A 19,659-nucleotide genomic window follows, 5' to 3' on the forward strand; every position below is an offset into this window, starting at 1 on the left:
GTAAAATCCTCCCAAATTTGAAGCATTTCTGCAGAAACTCTTCAAAAAGGTGGGAAGAATGGAATGTCTGAGGCTGAGAAAAAAACAAAGAACAATTACAAATCATCCATCTTAGGTGGATTCAATATAGAATTATTCAAACAGGAGTCTTTTCTGTGAGATTTCCTCATTTCCTGAGACCTTGTATATAAAACTCTGGATTTTAGTTAAGACAGGATGGGTTGTTTTGACTTAAAGACCTACTTAGTTTGAAGTTTTGGAAAAAGAGCGGAGTCAGTCTGTCTTCAAATAGTTTATGTCATCTAATCATGAATCGCCATTTACCTGCCCTTACGTTATCTTTAGTAGAGAAAAAGCTGTAAAATATGGTAAGGGTAGAAAAAGCAATTGCCCTCATTAGTAAAATGTCTCTAGAATGTTGCAAAGTAACATTTCAGCCCTTGAAACCAGAGACCCCTTTCACTCCTTTTATTAAGATGTCTTTAAATATATGGGTTTTAAGAGGAGTAAAATGAGGAAAAATTATGAATTCTAGAATAGCTGTTCTCTATGCAGAACTTTATAATTGTGATTTCTTTTTTTTTTTATACTAGCCCTCCCATTTCTCCCACCACTGTGATGAAAACCTTAGTGAGTCAATCTGAATTTCTTGCCTGCTCTTTCTCGGATTTATTTCTAAGAGATCTTTTTTCATTTTTATTTTTTGGCACCCAGGAATTAAATAGCTTTAATTACTTGGATCTGTACAGACTTGCTGACCTCTTTAACCTCACTTTGTTGGAGAAGGCAGTGATCGATTTCTTAGTGAAACATCTCTCTGAACTCCTGAAGAGCCGCCCAGAAGAAGTTCTAACGCTTCCCTATTGCCTGCTTCAGGAGGTGCTGAAGAGCGACCGCCTGACCTCCCTGAGTGAAGAGCAGATCTGGCAGGTAAGGGCGCTGTGCACGGTCGCTTTTGGCACTGAAAAAGCATGCCGTGATTGGAAGTTAAAGGACTGAGGAACAATTACCACTATTTTAGTGGCTTTGGTCCTCATGGAGTTGTTTTAGAAGTCATGCTTCCTTGATGGACAAGTGATTGGAGAACACTGGCCCTTGAGGCTCAGAGCCCTCAGCGGACTCTGCCGCTTAACTCAGGGAATTGCAGGGGCAATCCATGAGACCCTCACTGTGGCTTCCCAGAACCTAACGTGGTCACATCTGAGTCAAGGGATGTTTTTTTCCTGATAAAAATTGTTTCTTAAACAAAATATGACAAAAAAATGGATTGTAAAGTGATATATATGCATATTTAAGACCAGGAGAATCAGAGTAAATTTGGGCCTTTGCTGTAAACAATTCAGAAACATTTCTTTGTTGCAATAGAGAGCAGCTTGGATCTCGAATGAAATGAAGCTCTTCTTGCATGGCAGTGGAAAAATCTCCATCCTTAGTTCATTCTGCATTCATTGCTATTTTCCTAAGCCCTGCCTTTTCGCCTGACATAGCATTCTTTTCACATTGTGTCGCTCCCTTGTCTAGAGGACAGGAGGATGTTTTGTGGTTTGAAGTTGATTATTCAATTAAATCCTCTTCTGCTCATCCCCAGTGACTATTCCTTGAAAAATCCACTTGGTGTCTTTGGGGAATAGTCAGAGAGCCTATCTTCCTCCTCCATATTACAGCCTGTCTATCTCACTCTCTGAAGCACTGGCTAGCCATTTTGTTACTTGTAGGGTGCCATGCCTCCAAGATTTCACAATCATTTGAAAAATAATTATATACAGACTACCAGGGAAAATTTAAAGTCTTCTATTAGCTGATTAAACAGTGAATCCCTGGTATCTTATCAAGTAATATTTAGAGAGTATTTTAATTCTGGCCAAAATTGTCATATAGGTAGCTGTTAATTATTCAGTAGCTAACTCTACTGACTGATTATTTTCCTGATGCCTTTCTGCCTTATTTCATTATTTGTGTTACTTTAATCAGTAACTTCCCTCTTCATTATTGCTTCCACCAGAGGGAATTAAAGAGCTGCAGCGTCCTGAAGGCCTTCTGGGTCCCAGGCTCTCTGCAAACTTATTGACAGCAGGCCTGAAAGAATGGCTATTATCACTGCATGTACCAGATGAACAAAATGAGGCTTCTGTGCCTTACTCAGAGTCACAGAGCAGAGCCAGCCTTCAAATTTAAGTCTGCTAACACCTGCCCCCATGTCTTCAATATTCCACACTGTCTTGATAAAGAAAATATAAGGACCAAAAAAACATTAAAGAATAAATTTTTTGTGGCTCCTTGGGTATTTCTGGTAATGTTTGTTCAGGCAGAGGTTGAACAGGTTGACAAGGATCTGTTTTTGGTAGAAATTTCAATTATCTCTGGCTCTCTCTTATAAACACAAATCAACAGAATTTACTTTGGTCAATTCAAAATGGGAAGTAGTCAAATTTTCTTCACTTCCCAAGGGAAAAAGAAAGATTTGGAATGAATCCTGCATTTAATTTTTTCTAACTGAATTGACATCTGAGGCTAACCATCCTTGTGGCTTCTATCTCTTTTTGTGGCGCAGTTGAAGGCACTGCCAGAGATTGACGTGGTAATGTGCAGATGGCTGAGTGTCAAGAAAATTCCATACTATCCACTTAAGAGTTATCATAATTGCCTCTCTAAAGGTTACTAATATTATAATGTAGAATTTTAAAAGCTGCTTTCTGCTGCAGGCAATAATTTTTTTAATACCTGGTCCTCAAGAAAGAATTAAAAGACTCACATAAATATTATCAATTTAGGCATTCAGCAGGCAATAAGAAACTGTTTTTGCTTTATCTTAGTAAATAAGTATTTCCCTCATATTCAACCCCATAGAGAAAAATCAAATCAGACCGCTATTTTGCCTCAAGTATAGTTAAGTTCATCATTTTTGCTGAGGTTATGCTAGTAATGCAATATACCATGGAAGAATCTAATATTCAGCCCAGAGTAGAGATTGGGTATGCCAGAGGATTAGTGTCAGGGTGCTTTATAGAAGTGAAACTTGATGGACAGGCTGGAGACAGATCTACAGAATCTCATTAAATTGCTGAATTGTTCATTACGGAACGTTCTCACTGTAATAAAGTGCTCATTGACTTTGACAAATCCCTATCCCATGTCTTAAAGAAGAAGTGTGAAGCAAAAGGTGTTGGGGAGGAGAAAGGAAATTGGCACAAGGTAGGACAGGTAATAGAAAACTGGATGGAGGGGGGCGTGCTATTTGATTAATATGTGCAACCAGTAACTTAGATGAGAGCATGGTAAACACACACACACTTACGCAGGTGGCTCTTCTACTATGTACTGATAATGTCATCTGGGACCATCCCATATTTGGTGAAAGGTCTAATTTTCATTATTCACCAGATTTCATGCAGTCTGGCTCTGAAGACCTGTCATAAGAACCTTCAAATTAACCTCACCGAACCAACTCTTTTTCACTTTTTCCTGCTGTTCCTTACCCAAGCCCTTTCCTTGACAAAATGTGTTGTATGCAGGCCACGGTAATCATTCTGTGGATCTGTGAACCTGTAAAATACCCCAAGATGATGCCTTGGAACTGTTCTTTTTTTTCCATCTGACCTTTCTAAGCTTTATTCTGAGTCTCTTCTCTCACAGAAGTCTTCTTGGTTCCTCCTAGACAAATTTTCATCCCTTCCATGGTCTGAAATGACTTGATCTGTTGGTTAATTTCACTCTATATTTAGAGGTAACATAGAGAGTTGTTCACATACATACCTTAGATGGATAAGGACATAGAAGTTCCCTAAAATATATTGTTTTTTTAAAATTTAGTTCAATTCAGCTCAACAATTTGGTTTTATGTTTCAAGGCCAGCAATTTATCAGGTTCCAGATGAAAGACACCAAATTGACTATTGGGTTCAAAGAAAGGAGACTAAAACTGAACAAATCAGCTGAAATGGAAATATGGGACATTAGGTCACTTGCCTTTGTGACCTGGCAAATCTCTATCTGTTTGATTTTGCTTTCAGATATTAGCTCCCAATTAGAACTTCATTTCAGTAGGGCCCTGTTAAATATCTTCTGTTAGATTTTGCATATATTTTCAGACTGATGAGCCAGGGTCTTACCATAGGAGCTGGGGAGTGCAAGAAATGGGGAGATGTTGGTCAAAGGGCACAAAACTTTCAGTTAGAAAATAAACAAGTTCTAGGGATCTAATATAGAGCATGGGTTCCAGGGATATGTTAATTAATTTGATTGTGGTAATCATTTCCCAGTGTATATGCTTATCAAATCATCATATTGTACACCTTGAATCTAAACAATCCTTATCTGTCAATAAAATATTTTTAAATAAATAAGCCAAAACATGGCAATTCTTCATAAAAAAAACTTAGAACAACACATAGAAGTAATTCTGTATCATTCTCATGATCAGATCTGTTTTCATTTCCATAGGAAGTGCTGAGTAAGCTCTGTTTTCTTTTCAGGAACATGCATTTCCTGCCTCTTCTGCCTTTAGGTTCTCTTTCACCAGAGTAAGAGGGAGATTACTGTTTTCCATGGAAGTACAATTTGTAGAAAAAGCCTATATAGAAAAATATAACATCAATTCTTATACACACTAGCATAGGGAGAAAGTATGGCTCTCCACCCATCAGTATGTACTGAGCACCTACTAAATACCCAAAATTATGCTAGAGTGGAAAGAAGGCAGAGGACAGATCTGCCAACTCCATTTCCCTCTTCCAGGCCTCCTCCCAAATGGAGAGAATCCTCCTGATTTTAAACCATAAGTACAGCTCTCTGAATTTTTATTTTATCTCCAAAGTAGCAGAAACAAGAAGGATATTTAAAAATGAAAGAAAACAGCTTGTGGAAATAAAAATGAATATTTCTTGACCACCTGTTACATGCTAGGCATAGTGTTGGGAGCTAGATTCTGGGGTAAAATGCTTTACAAAAATATTCAGTAGTTAGGTTAAGGAAATTTATTTCACCTTTATCTCTGAGTGGGAAGTTTTGTTTTCCTTTAATTATTAATGTATTAACTGTTTCTTACTTTTAGTGAGAACTTATTATTTTGTAAGAACAGTCCTTTTCTGGGTAGGCGCGGTGGCTTACGCCTGTAATCCCAACAGTTTGGGAGGCTGAGGCGGGCAGATCACTTGAGGTCAGGAATTTGAAACCAGCCTGCCCAACATAGTGAAACCCCATCTCCACTAAAAATACAAAAATTAGCCAGGTGTGGTGGCAGGCACCTGTAATCCCAGCTGAGGCCTGGAGGCTGAGATAGGAGAATCAGTTGAAGCGAGAGGCAGAGGTTGCAGCGAGTGGAGATTGCGCCACTACACTCCAGCTGGGATGATAGAATGAAACTCCAGCTAAAAAAAAAAAAAAAAAGAACAGTACTTTTCTTACTTCATTAACCTGGGGGTTGAGGACACTTCCTACTTGTATTCTGAGTCTGACTTTGCCTGGACTTAAGTAGATATTAAGACCAAAAAATTTGCTGGCTATGTGAGTGGCGTCAAACAAGGTAAGACCTCAGCAGGGAGGGTTTCCTTTATTCTATTAGGTTGGTGCAAAAGTAATTGCATAAACCCAAGTTATGTCCTATTTTAGTGTGGCAAAGAGGGACCATGTCACCTGATTTGGGGCTGGGGCAATCCTGTTCATATTTGTCCGTGATTATCCATCCCTAGAGGCAGAGGCTGTGCTGTAGTGTTTGCATTACCTACTGCTTGCACTCTATTAATAATAAATAAAAACAACAATGTAGAGTTTCCATATTAAAATGTATTGAATGGATAATAAGACATCCTACTATTCCTACATTAGGCTGGATTTATTCTAAGAAAATTGATATAGAAAATGAGTTTGGCCTTTTAAAGACTGCATTTTTCCTTATATTTTTGTTGGAAATTTGCTTCCCTAAGTCATACTCTTAATAACACATTCATTTTATATCTTGAGAGACATAAGCCACATATTGTTTAGTCAACAATCTCAAATGCAGTGGTTTTTTTGACACGCTCCTCCTGGGCTTTTATGTATACCACAGAATCAGCCACGTTACAGTTTGAATTAATCATTTTCTTCAAAAGGAGTCCCAGAAGTGAACCCAAACAAAAAGCTACTATCCCTTTACAGTTGGAAAGTAGAAGACACTGGTGATGTACTCAGCTTTCATCTTTTATCCTTCGATGATAAATTGACCCAAATGTACCTCTGGCCAGGAAGAAGCAAGGAATTTAAATAGTACTAGATGTCAAACAATACTATTAAAATACTTCCAATTTGAATATCACATCACAGTTTTGAAAATGCATCTTCATTTATTATTGCTTTGTTCTCCTGTAGTACAAAAGGGAAAACTGAGGTTACATATCTAGGAATCAAACTCATGTCTTCTAATTCTTGAGCTATGTCTACTTTGGTCTATAGCTTCTAAATTTGTAATAGAAGCTCAGAAATACTCAGGCGATGGGCACAGAGGTGCATCCAATTAATCCTATGACTTTAACAGGAATTAAGAAGGGCTTGATTAGCTGGGCACAGTGGCTTACGCCTGTAATCCTAGCACATTGGGAGGTTGAGGCAGGCTGATCGCTTGAGCCCAGAAGTTTGAGACCAGCCTGTGCAACATAGTGAGACCCCTGTCTCTACGAAAATATTAGCTAGGCATTGTGGCATGCACCTGTAGTTCCAGCTACCCAAAGGGCAGGTTCACCTGAGCCCAAGAAGTTGAGGCTGCAGTGTGCCGTGATTGCACCACTGCTCTCCAGCCTGGGCAATAGAGCGAGACCCTGTCTGGAAGAAAAAAAACAAAACAAAACGAAACAGAAAAAAGAGCATGACCATTCTAGTTCCCTTGGGTAGTGCCCATGGATTGAACAAATCATGGCCTCTGTGCCTGCCTCCGTGTCTGTGTCATGTTGCTAATTCTAATTCTGTTAGATGACATATGCCTCATTCATTCTTTCATTCATTCCAAATAGTTATTGAGTGCCTGCTCTACCCAGCCATGTCCTGTGGGGTACTACTATTGCCTGCCATATGATGGGTGCTGGGTAGTCAGTAATGGGAAGCACCAACAGGGTCCTGCTGTCATGGGCCTGACAGTGTCTGATGTGGGGCTTTCCGCTTGCTGCTCTTTCCCACCTGCCCAATGCCTTCCCAGTGGGGACTGACCTGTGCCAAATAGCATAATGATTTCTTTGCCAAGTTGGGGCACGTTGAAATGATATGGGTACAATGGAGATGACATGCTTTTGACTGGATGTTTCAATACCAACCAGTGACCCTTCGCCTTTTGTTCAATGCTTTGCTTATTGTTAACTCTCGATAGTTGTATGCACCCTCTAAACAGCTTCGCAAACCTTTGTCAATCCATGTGATACAGTCCAAGCCTCAAACAAATCAGGCTGTGGGTAAACATTTAATCAAAAAATTCTACAAGCTGTGTTCATGTTTTAATATTTGGACCTTGGTAACTAGAAATAGAATAAAATACTAAGAACTCTTATCCTCAAACAAAATTATAATTTTTCATCATGTTCCTGCCCTTCTTCAATTCTCTTTCTTTCTTTTTTTTTTTTTTTTGTTGTTGTTGAGATGGAGTTTCACTCTTGTTGCTCAGGCTGGAGTGCAATGGCACGATCTCAGCTCACCGCAACCTCCGCCTCCCGAGTTCAAGTGATTCTCCAGCCTCCGCCTCCCAAGTAGCTGGGATTACAGGCATGTGCCACACACCTGGCTAATTTTTTTGTATTTTTAGTAGAGACAGGGTTTCACCACGTTAGCCAGGATGGTCTCGATCTCCTGACCTCGTGATCCACCTGCCTCGGCCTCCCAAAGTGCTGGGATTACAGGCGTGAGCCACCGTGCCCGGCCAATTCTCTTTCATACATGCATGTGTTGTTACTATTATTTTCCCAGATAGCTACTTTCTGGGTATCTTCATAATATCTCCTATTTTTTAAAGTTACCATTTCTTAAACTCATCAAATTCGTACATGTGGTCCCAACTTACAAATTTGTACCACTTCTTAATTTTCTTTCTGAAACTTTTTATAGTTTCTCCCAACTACATACAGTTTTTTTCTACAAATGTGATGAGGGTATCTCCATTTCCTTCTTCTTAGATGTTAGTGAAGAGAATAAACAGTGGCTCCTTTGCATCCCAAATAATGTTTTGCCCAGAGGATGTTTTATCCTTTGAGGGGCCCCTAGCTGGACACAGAGTAACACTGCTATTTCAGGGATTGGTGCTCCTAGTTGCCAGAGCATATATTTAATCTTTCCTTCTAATCTATATGCGGCTAACTCCTCTGTGAGGGTGCATCCCACAGTAGCTTGACTCGTGGCTTTGCTGTTGTTTGTCTGGGGTATATGCCTTTGCAAGACGCATGACATGTTCATTTCAGAGGGGCTTTGCTCCAGCTAATCCTCAGTGCTAGAGCTGTGCGTTGCTGAGTAGCTGTGAGGGGCAGTGATTATCAGAAATTACAGGAGACCCAACTTGTATTCATGTGCTGCTGTTCTCATGAGTTAATAGTTTTTTTTCTTTCCTTCTTTTTAAAGAATGAGCACAACAGAACAACAAGGTGATTTATGAGATATGACATATTTATGTTCTCTGCTTCTAATTTTCATTGTGATTCATGTTGTTTCCAGACTGATATTTTTGTTGTTGCTGCTGTGAGAAGGAAAAAGATGACTGTAGAATATTACTTACGCATTGGTGCCCTGCAGTAATATTGCTGCTAACCTGGGTTATCAGGGATTTAAAAATAAAACCCAACTATAAGCCATATATGAGGTAGAAACCCTGAGGCTAGCGTAGAAGTCCATCAATAATAATACCAACAATAATAATTCTTTACAAGCCTAGAGGGCTTTATATTTTAAAGCATTTCACACATATAATTTCTCTTGAGTCTCTCATCACCCTTGTTAAGGTTGATAAGGCAAGTATGATCCAAATTTTAACTAGTGAGAAAACTAAAGCTTCCAGAAGTTCAATAGTTGACTCACTTCACAGTATAGATTTCAATGGAGGTCTCACTGTATTCTCTTGAAATACACCAACTCTTTAAGAAAACAGAAACTCAAAGTACCTTATATATCTCATAAGTCAAACGTTTTTATATATTACTCTGTAATGAGTGAGCCAGAAGTAGACATTTCCTAATACATTACCAGTTTTCATTTTCACCTGTTGTGAGACTTTGTGGGAAGTTGCAAAAATGTCTCCAATAAAGTCGTACAGGAAAGTGTTGCTGAGGGTCTTTCTTGATCAGAGCCCAGAAACTGAGGCTCTGGATGGTTTGATAAGGAAGAATGCTTAGAGAATTCTGGCAGAGGGAGGGAACCATCTTTTATTCCTTCAAAGTACACGATGGTGTAGTATAAAGCAGGAAATGAAAGCCGATAAGGGAGGATCTCTTTAAAATCTGACCAAGAGACATAAATTAGAGTAAAAAAGAACCTGGAGTGCCATTATTTCTGTTGCAGTGACACAGACTGTGTGGGAAAAAGTCTGTAGGCTGTTGTCCCTATTTGAGACCAGAGATTGGATGGAACAAATGGAAATGATTGATCATTCCATCTTCATTTTATGCCCAATATATTGAAATTTTAGAAATGTATGCAGCATAAATTGACAGTTGGGTGATGGTTTAGATATGGGGTTCAAGAGAGAGGGTGAAAGATATAAATTTCTTGAAATTGATAAATGTTAGTCTCTTTCCAACACAAATGACCCTGTGAGTCCTTTTTCTTCAATGTTAGGCCAGTTGAATAGCAATGATGTTCATGCTAATTGGCTGTGTCAGACCATAGAGATTTGCTATTCTGGGAGTTCTATAGGAGAGGATGTAAATTTACTTATAAAGTGACCCAGAGGCTCTAGAATTATTTACATTCTAAGGAGATGTCAAGAGAAGCCTCAACATTTATTGTTGAATACTGACTTCCTTAGAAGTGCTTCTCCCACCCTTGCCTCCAAAACTTCTGCTACAAGGAAAAATAACACCCTGATTCAACACACCTGGAGGAGAAAAGTGGCCATTCTGAGATCATAATCAGGAGAAGCATTCATACATCATTCTTGAGCTTTTTTTATGCTCATAATACAGAGTTATGCATTCTCCATGGTGAGGATCCACCCTTTCCTCTGACCACCTCCTCCTTGTTACGTGCGGTGGCATGTTGATGAACTGCAAACCTATTTTGATATTCTGGTAGAGAAAGCATAACCAGGAAGACAAATTCAGGGAAAAAAAGTCAATGACTGATTCTAAAGTTATGTATCAAAGATTTTGTGCATTGTTCTCCTTTGTCTATAGGAAGAGTTACAAGTCAGTATTGGTAAGTGGCACGGTATTACTTATGCTTCAAGAACAGGAGCTAAAAAGACCCCCACACACCAGAGGCTGAGGACACATATCTTCTTTGTGTGTGTTCTTGTTGATGAGGAATGCCCACTACCTTCTCTGGCCACACAAGGAAATTGGGTAATTAAAGGAGTGATGGATGGTGCGTTAAAGTTTAAACGTTTTAGGAGGACCTATCTTATTAACACTTTAAAACAAGTGAGCATAATATCATTAACTTTGATTAATTCATTTGCTCTTAATATAGCTTTTAATTTGTAATTCTACGTGAATTACAATGTAATTTGGCATTAATTATACTAAATTGACTATAAGTCAGCCAATCACAATGGAAAATTACTCACAGCTGAAACTAAAACTAAACCTCTCCATCCAGAAAGGACGATGCTTAGTTAAGTGGCAAACACACTTTAGGCTCTTTGGCAGTGAGAATGACATTGGACCTGCTGAGGACTGTAATCAATTTCTCATTCTGCCCACTGCTGGGACTATGTACTCTTTGGAGTGAAGCCCCATATAAATCCAATAAAGTGTAAATAATGAAGTAAACAAAGGGGTTGATTTATCAGGTTTGCCAGGTCCCCTGAAGAATCTTTTTGCTCTTCTCATCTCATGTAAGTTTTAGGCAATGTAGAGGGGCTGTGTAGTGCTTTAGAATGATTAATTCCACACCCCTTGGATTCTGGGAGTTAGAATAGGCACCTACCCAAATTGGCCTGCTTCTCGTCTTCATGCTCTGTGAAACAGCTGGGAAATCCTGTTTTCGACCCCATGTGTAGTCAGTATCCTGAAGCCACTCCTATTTGACCTATACACAAAATGCCTTCTAGGCAGAAGGAAGTCATGCCTTAAAAAGCCAACACCACACTGAGAGAACTAAACCCTCAGGAGATGATGGAGCATGTGTCATTCATTGATAAAGCTTGTGGAAGGTGCCCGGGAGCACACAAGAAGTAAAGTGATCTGCTGAGGAATGCAGCCCTTGAGAAAGTGTGTGTGAGAGTGAGGATGGATTTGGAAAATACATGTGTTTGAACCATTTCCCAGATAGCTTTCTTTGACAACTGTCTTCTGAAAAACAAAACAAAAACTCTGAGATTTTGCAGAAAGTCATATGCAAGATTTGGCAATATTCTGCTTGAAGTCCATTTACATGTAGGTAGAACGACATGAATTTTGTACATTCTAGATACATTCCTGGTGAGCAATTGGCTCATAAAATGAGGCCCGGTTCAGAGGCAACAAATTTTGCTAAATATTGCACGGAAAATTCAAGACTGTTATTTTATAGGTCTTCTTTTTACCTTATTAGTTATATACCCCATCTCATCATTCTCACACCCAACGTAGCTAATAAAATGGCATAAGTTTTATATAAAAATTTTGAGTAAAGAGGTTAAAAGCCACCTTGGATTCTGAGCCAACAGCCGTCCTGTCCTCTGTCACTTACACATATGCAGGTGGGATTCACACAGTGCACACACTTGCAGGTAGACACGCATGCACACACACATATTAGATGCATATTAATCTTTGCAGCTAAAAGGCTTTCCTTTGTTTTGCAGCACTGACCTAAATCATAATACTCCCACCATTGGCTCGTTGGTCTCAGCATTAAAGAAAATAGAAAGTAGAAGCTTATTTTCACCACTCCAAGCGTATATATTCCATTCATCACTAAACTTTTTAAGGATGTTAATGCCAATAGTTTGTTAACAGAAGCAGCTGTATAGATGCAGCTTTATGGTGTTTCAGTTCTCTCCAAATCCTTTTTATGCTAGATTTAGCCTGGCCTATTGCAGAATTTTTAATTCCTTTTCCCCAGATATTCTTTTTGATATCCACATTGGATTGGTGGGTTCCAGTCCCTTTCCTACCAATTGTGGTTCCCACCATAGCATCAAGTTCTTAAGCAAAAACAACTCCTGTTTGAGGCATGCCCTCTGATGGATGAGCTCTTTTGAGCTCTTAATGTTCTTACTGCTTTTAGAGAACTGTAAGGATTTTGGGGCAAAGGAACTAATACTGAAGTAAGCAGAGCAGTGAGACGGGGGGAAAACATTTACAGGATATTCCTGCCCTTGGTTTTATCTTCTCATCATTTAACAGCAGCAGAATAAATGGGTCTGCTAATGAAACAGCACTGAGAGGTTAGGTCATTGGAAGCCTTTTTAGTCATTTTGTGCTTTTCAAGAGCGAATTTGTTAGAATTATGCTGAATACCCACTTAAAGCCTCAGCTGATAACCCTACCTGTGTTTTATAACTCTGCACTGTCAGAACTCATAATAAGTCAAACATTCTTTCAGTGGTGCTCATAAGGGAGGGAAAAAAACCACGCAAATTTAAGAGTAATTTCAGATTGTAAATGAAAAGGAGAGGCACGACTGTTCATTTGCACCAATCATGCCTTCCTTTCATCTGCTCTGATTAGGCCTGGTGCGGTTTCATCAGACTCCTCCATCACCGAGCTGTCACTCCAGCCGTCTGTTGATTGAAAACAATCAAGGCTCTGATGGCACAATTATTCTGACCCTTTAACTAGAGGCTGCTGTGATAATGAAAGGTTGATTATGATAGTTTGTGCCTCTTTCAGTTTGCCAAGAAGGTTAATTTGGGCATCAGACGGATGTTTAATGGGCGCTTGCTGGCTACACTGAGGTAAATGAGAACGTGCAGTCTTGGATATTGCACGGATATAGTTTGGCTGTCAATCATTGTCATTTGGAGTTTGTGCCTCACACTCTGGAAATCACATTTTATTTTTTCCTTGGGATTTAATTTATTCTGTGCCCTGAGGAAGTTCTTTCACTCGGTGACCTTCACAGCAGCTTTCTCTGCCTTTTTTTTTTCTTTTTTCAAATGGAGCTCAAAGGCACAACACATCTAGAAGAGCATTTTGCTTTCATTTTCACTTAAAAATGGAAACTTTAAAAATCCGTCCTTATCACTGCCTTCCAATAGAGCAAATGTTTCCATTCCGATTGTGCAGTGGGAAAGTATAAACGACAGGGATACTTTAGCCAGTTTGCTAATGCAGCAGCTCACACAGTTGTTCTGCCCTGTTTCGCACAGTAACCAGCAAATGCAGTAAATTCAAAATGGGCACATATATGAAAGTGAAGGCCCCATTCTATCACTAGCATGTCTCACAACAGTTTGTAGAATTCCTGCTTCCAAACACAGCATCTTACTCCTTTTACCCTCCTTCTTGGCAAACATAGGGGAGGGGTTGAGGAAGGAAGACAGAGATTTGTCTGTGGAAGCACTAAGGTTTTAAAAGTTGCAAATTTCAATTTGTATAAATCCAGCACCTAATCTTGCAGCTATTTGAAGTATAGGCTAAAAACGATACAGACATCTAATAATGCTGGTGTTTACAATGTGCAGCTCACATTGTGTTATAATGAGCTTTGTACCGCTTTCATGCATACCCTTTAAAAAAGAAAAATAGAGGAAAAGAAAAAATAAAGGAAAACCTTTATTTCTGTCTCCAAGCTATGCATAGTGGTCTCATCATATATTAGGCACCTGAGAGCTAGAATCGTTTTGCCTTTTTTTATTTGTTGTCTTCATTATTTTTTTTTCCTCCAATGAACATTCAGCAGCATATTTTTACCTAGCCTGGGACATTTTTTCTCACATGTCAATTGGAAAACAATTAAGTCTATAGATGTTAAAGTGACAGCATCATAATTATTGTAATTTTACTTCAAGTGTTCTATTTTCACATTATTTTTTTCTTGCTTTCAAAAAACCCTATTTGTTTTTTAATAGTAAAGAGAGTCATTAGGTGATCATTCAGTCTCACCTGAGAAGTCTCCAAAAATGAATTAAGTCATTGAATCCAGTTGCTGTTTTAATGCAGCCCTTATTTAATGAACAGTTCTGTTTAAAATGTTTATTTAAAAAATAAATGAGAATGGGATTGTGTATATATGGTCTCACAAGATTCCTCACTGCAGTACACCACAAATGATTATTTTTTTAGCTCTATAAAATAGTAAAATAGACCTCAGGGATACTTCATAAAATTATTGCTTTGTTATGTCTTGTTTTTGGTTAAGCAATGGGAACTAAAAAGATAATTTGGAGAGAAGTGCATCAGTCAAGTCAATCAATAGTTTTTGCTATTAGAAAAGTAATGCAAAGTTTAATTTTCATATTAACTTGTGGGATCTGTGACAATGAATTATTTTATCTTATAGGTTCGCTATGTTTTTAAAGTAATGGGACTCAAGCAAAGGCCGTTTCATCTTAAAGAAAGCATAACTCATTTTGTCAAATTGTTTCTGGTCTAAGCCTGACTGAGTTCTGAGTTTCCCCACGTCTGTACTTTTTATATCAAAGTCATCTCCAACACAGAGGGCCTTCTTCCCTCATACACCTGCATGACATGACTGCCACTGTCCTGCTCTCAAGCAGACTCTGTCCACCCAGACTGCACCCCTCAACGGTGATATTCCCGCTTGGGTCCTCTTGCCTTTCATTGCCTGCCTGTGCTGGCCATGCTTCTGCTACCAGGCTGGGCCTGCTCATGGGGCCCAGTTTCTTTTTCCTCTTCAGTGTGGCCTTCTCTATCTTCAGGGTTCACCTTGCTCTTCCTCCTAATCTGATAAAGAATGTTTCAGACCTGTGATTTCCCCAGATTGGACTCCTGTGTTCTTTCATTCGACATTGATGGTTCTCAGTGAGGCTGCAATACAGTCTTTCTCTCAACTATCCTACAGATTCTCTTTTGCAACAGCTACTACCTTCTACTCATTCCTTCCTCCTCCACAGTCCTCTCTTCTCTCATGAGTCTTCTGAGACTATCAGGCGGCTGGTTCTCCACCACAGGGCTATCTCTCTACATCTCTGACTTCTTTGCATGACTGCTGCACGCTGGGCTCTCTGGGCCACTTCTCCCACCCGAACTAAGCCCTGCCCCCCTGTCTCTGCTGCTTTGATTCCTTACATGCTTGATTTCTGTTTTGAGACTTATCTGACATTTATTGTTTGTAATGATCCTTGTGGAACCCAAATCCTTTGATATGACTACCTGGGCATTGGCCCAAATCTTCTCTGAAATTTCTATTTGGGTTAAAAAAAAAAAAAATCTGTGATCATTGTGGTGAAGAGGGTATCTTCTTCGATAAAAATATTATTTGTATGATCAGCTTGGCCAACATGGTGAGATCCCATCTCTACTAAAAATACAAAAATTAGCCAGGCGCGGTGGTGCACACCTGTAATCCCAGCTACTCAGGCTGAGGTAGGAGAATTGCTTGAACCCAGGAGGTGGAGGTAGCAGTACGCCAAGATTGTGCCACTGTACTCCAGCCTAGGTGACAGAGTGAGACTCTATCTCAAAAAATACATATATAAATATATATATATAAATTGTGTGTACTGTACTCACAGGTGTTACAAAGTAGAAATAGAGGATTCATAGTTCCCTAGTTTTTTATACTATGATGAAATGAAGTTAGAGAAGGCAGTGCAAAATATGCTTTTTCAACATCAGTAGCCAGACTGAAATTCACCTAGTACAGGTAGTCAGTGGTGCCATCAAATTTATGTATATCCTTTGCAGCTCACTGACAGTGTAGACCCTGGCTCCCCTTCCCCAGCCCTACCAGCTGGCTGGCAGTGCTCCTTGTCCTATCCCCTTGACAGTAGAGTCTGGCCCTGACAGTGTTTAGTCCTGTGCTTCAGTTTATGGGTTCCCCCATGCCAGTCTCTGTGCCCCATGGCTCTAAAAGATGTTTAAAGTTACCTTTGACTATTCTTTTATTTTTATTTGGAGGCTGCCAACATTAAATCCTTAAATGCAACTTGGGTACTTTCTGGACATCTAAACTCATCATAGTACCACTTGTTTGAGGGATCTGACTGTCCCTATGTCAGTGACCTGGGGCAGCTGCTTGAGCCCTTGAGGTCCATTTGGTTATAATATTGAAGATTTGATTTCAGATGGTGAGCACATTTGCCAGTGAACGTGCTCTTGTGCTCTTGGCTCATTATTCTTTTTTTTTTTTTTTTTTTTTTGAGACACGGTCTTGCTCTGTTGCCCAGGCTGGATGCAGTGACACAATCATGGCTTAATGAAGCTTCAAACTCCCAGGCCTAGGTGATCCCTCCACCTCAGACTCCCAAGTAGCTGGACCACAGGCATGTGCCACTGCAGCCAAGCTTTTTTTTTTTTTTTTTTTTTGGTAGAGACAGGGCCTCCCTATGTTGCCCAGGTTAGTCTTGAACTTCTGGGCTCAGGCAATCCTCCCACCTCGGCCTCCCAAAGTGCTGGGATTATAGGCATGAGCCACTGCATTCAGCCAAGCTCATTATTCTTGAATCAATTCATGAACAAATATTCAAAGGCCTAATGCTCTCAGGATGCATGTTTACAAATTAAACAGTTTTTTTAAACCATAAAATGTATAAATGTGCCAGCAACATTTAAAACACCAATGAAATGACAACATAGAAAGATGATTCGTGTGCGTTTCTGAAAAATCTGTCTACAAAAGGCTTAAACTTCCAGATTTGCAGGATTACCTCCAACAATTCCAAATTTCATTAGAATATTTTACAGGAACATATCAAGACACTCAAAATCAAGAATAAGCCTCGAGTTTTATGATATTAATGGAAGTGAATGGCAAATGAGAACGTTGATATACACTGATTAGAATCTTTCTCACCAAGTTTCTGACATATAATGGACACTTAAGAAAACGAGAAGTGTTTGTAATGGGAGATCCAAGCCAAGTGATGAAAGTGACTTATATGCTGAGTATTGTACAAAAACAACTGGGTTTCAGTCTGTCTCTCCCTTTTCATTCATTCATTCATTCATGCATTCGTTCATGCTTCTCCAACGTTGAATTTAACAAAGCCACAGAACTTAAATTACTGGATTAGAATTACTGAGTTTATTTGTGTGAAATATGGTTAATCATAAGAGCTAGTTTATAATCTGTTGTGCTGCCATGGTTTTATTATCACTTTAAATATGTGAAGTATTTAATACTGTATAGCAAATTTCTTATCAACTATAGCAATCTCTCAAAATTTACATCACTAACACACAATGTTGTATTACATAAAAATGGTCTGCATGTGATGGCTTTATCATGAATTTAAAAGGATAATTATATTGGGGAATACCTTCATCTCTTGGAGGCATATTGCCATCATATAAATTCTGTACATTGTCTAAATATCAGTTTACCAGGCACCTTCACATGTCTGATCGCATTCAGTCTTCCGTAGAACCCTATGACATAGGTATTATCATACTTGTTTTGCTGAGTATCAGTATGTTGATAAAACTGAGTATCAGCATGTTGGTTTTTCATAAATGCACAAATATATTAGGTTGCAGAAATGGGTCTTTTGACATCAAGTCCTGTATTCTTTTCCTTGTGTCAGATTTACCTCTATAGGCATATACCAATTTGTGATAGAAAAAAGCATCAGGATTTCCCTGGCCATTTCAGCTGACTTCACCCTGGTAATGCATCCTTATTGCATGCAGTAGCTAGGAAACAATGGGGGGTGTTGTGACCCACATGAGGTCACTCTAGTCCCTATTGCCAATGTGATACAGAAGGGTTTTCTTTTATTGACCAAATTGGTTTTCTCTCATTTTCCAGTGTAGTTATACAATATAAGCTAAATACCTCAGTGACCACATGCAAAGTTCCTTCAACATCTAGTAGGACATGTTATGTAAATATGCAGGAGCTATCATTTTATTTAGAAGTCTCATGTCATCAATCCAGTATTGAGTAATGCTCTGATGCAATCCCAGCCATCAATGACTAGATGGATGAATATTGTCTTTTGGCTCAGAGACTATGATCAAACCACTGAAGGGAAATTATAGGGTGTTATTCTATAACTGTACATGTGTTTTGCTCAAATATGAGGAGACCAAGAATGGGTTTCATTTTTCCTATGGCATCATTGGCAAGGGTGGTGCTGTTTTTTATTGTCCTGTAGGACATTTTCGCCATTTAAAAGTTTTGTATATACTAGATATGGGATGGGAATGGTATATATACATATAACTTTTATTTTAGGTTTGGGAGTACACGTGAAGGTTTCTTATATAGGTAAACTGATGTCATGGGGGTTTGTACAGATTATTTCATCACCCAGATATTAAGCCTAGTACTCAATAGTTATTTTTTCTGCTCCTCTCCCTCCTCCCCCACCCTCCACCATCATGAAGGTATATTTACCTCTACGAGGTAAATAAATATAAATATACCATTATATATAAATAAACATAGAAATATAAATATGCCCATTATATATAAATAAACGTATATAAATGTAAATATACCACTGTATTCCCTCATGGAGGGAATGGTACATTTAAAGACAGTCCAGAGGTAAAATATATGTGAACAATTTACTAAAACTTGAATTTATCTTTTTTTTTTTTTTTTTTGAGACGGCGTCTCGCTCTGTCACCCAGGCTGGAGTGCAGTGGTGCGATCTCAGCTCACTGCAAGCTCCGCTTCCCAGGTTCATGCGATTCTCCTGCCTCAGCCTCCTGAGCAGCTGGGACTATAGGCACCTGCCATCACACCTGGGTAATTTTTTGTATTTTTGGTAGAGATGGGGTTTCACCATGTTAGCCAGGATGGTCTCGATCTCCTGACCTTGTGATCTGCCCGCCTTGGCCTCCCAAAGTGCTGGGATTACAGGCGCCCAGCCATGTATAAAATCTTATTCTGGGATTCTAACCAATATTACCTTGAAGCAGTCACCTTAATAAATTTGAAATTTGTATTCTTTGGCACAAATTTTATTTTTACAAGAGATGGTATTATTATTCAGTTTCATGATATAATCTGATCAAAGTTGTTCCTAGGGAGAGTGACTATGATGTAACCTAGTTCTCTGCATTGGCCCCACGTGCATGTGCACTTTCATACATGCAAACATTCACGCAGACATTTCTGCTGAGCACAGAATTATAGACAAAAAAATGTCACCTTGTTTTTCTGAAAAGAGATTTATCAAAACTCTCTGTGCTACAGAAACCTGTGACTTGGGTACTAGATTAATTTTGGTTGCCTCTACCACCTCTAGGAAAATTAGAGAATTCTACTTTAAAATATTTTTGGTGGATCCATAGGTGACGTATATCCTAGAGAAGGAGGAGACTCTCTCATCAACTAATTTATTTTAAAAATGAGAGCCAAATAACTGATCCAATGTCAGCCATATACTCACATTGCCCTTTTAATACTGGCTTTCCAAAGATCAGCTTACACTGGTGGC

At 39.0% G+C, this 19,659-nt stretch overlaps 1 protein-coding gene across 25 annotated transcripts in view, besides 1 other annotated feature; it reads left to right on the forward strand.

The window, feature by feature from the left end:
* The window catches only part of KLHL32 (kelch like family member 32), a 242,671-nt gene that overhangs the window by 186,329 nt on the left and 36,683 nt on the right, over window positions 1–19,659 (forward strand). For 18 of the 25 annotated variants that reach the window (NR_136580.2, NR_136579.2, NM_001323258.2 and 15 more), the window contains one exon: window positions 715–930. The exons of the other annotated variants lie outside the window; for them this stretch is intronic. Coding sequence is in view for 12 of the 18 variants with exons in the window: in NM_001323258.2 (NP_001310187.1) it covers window positions 715–930 (216 nt within the window). In the remaining 6 variants the exon portion in view is untranslated. The remainder of the gene's footprint in view (window positions 1–714; window positions 931–19,659) is intronic. 25 annotated transcript variants of the gene reach the window in all.
* Window positions 12,324–13,472: an enhancer, noted in NCBI's record as "VISTA enhancer hs676". NCBI's record gives its function as "enhancer in: hindbrain (rhombencephalon)[8/11] | forebrain[8/11] | branchial arch[5/11] | ear[6/11]" and the evidence as "EXISTENCE:transgenic organism evidence [ECO:0001131][PMID:17130149]".

The sequence above is a fragment of the Homo sapiens genome, chromosome 6, assembly GCF_000001405.40.
Source record: "Homo sapiens chromosome 6, GRCh38.p14 Primary Assembly".
NCBI classification, from domain to species: Eukaryota; Metazoa; Chordata; class Mammalia; order Primates; family Hominidae; genus Homo; species Homo sapiens.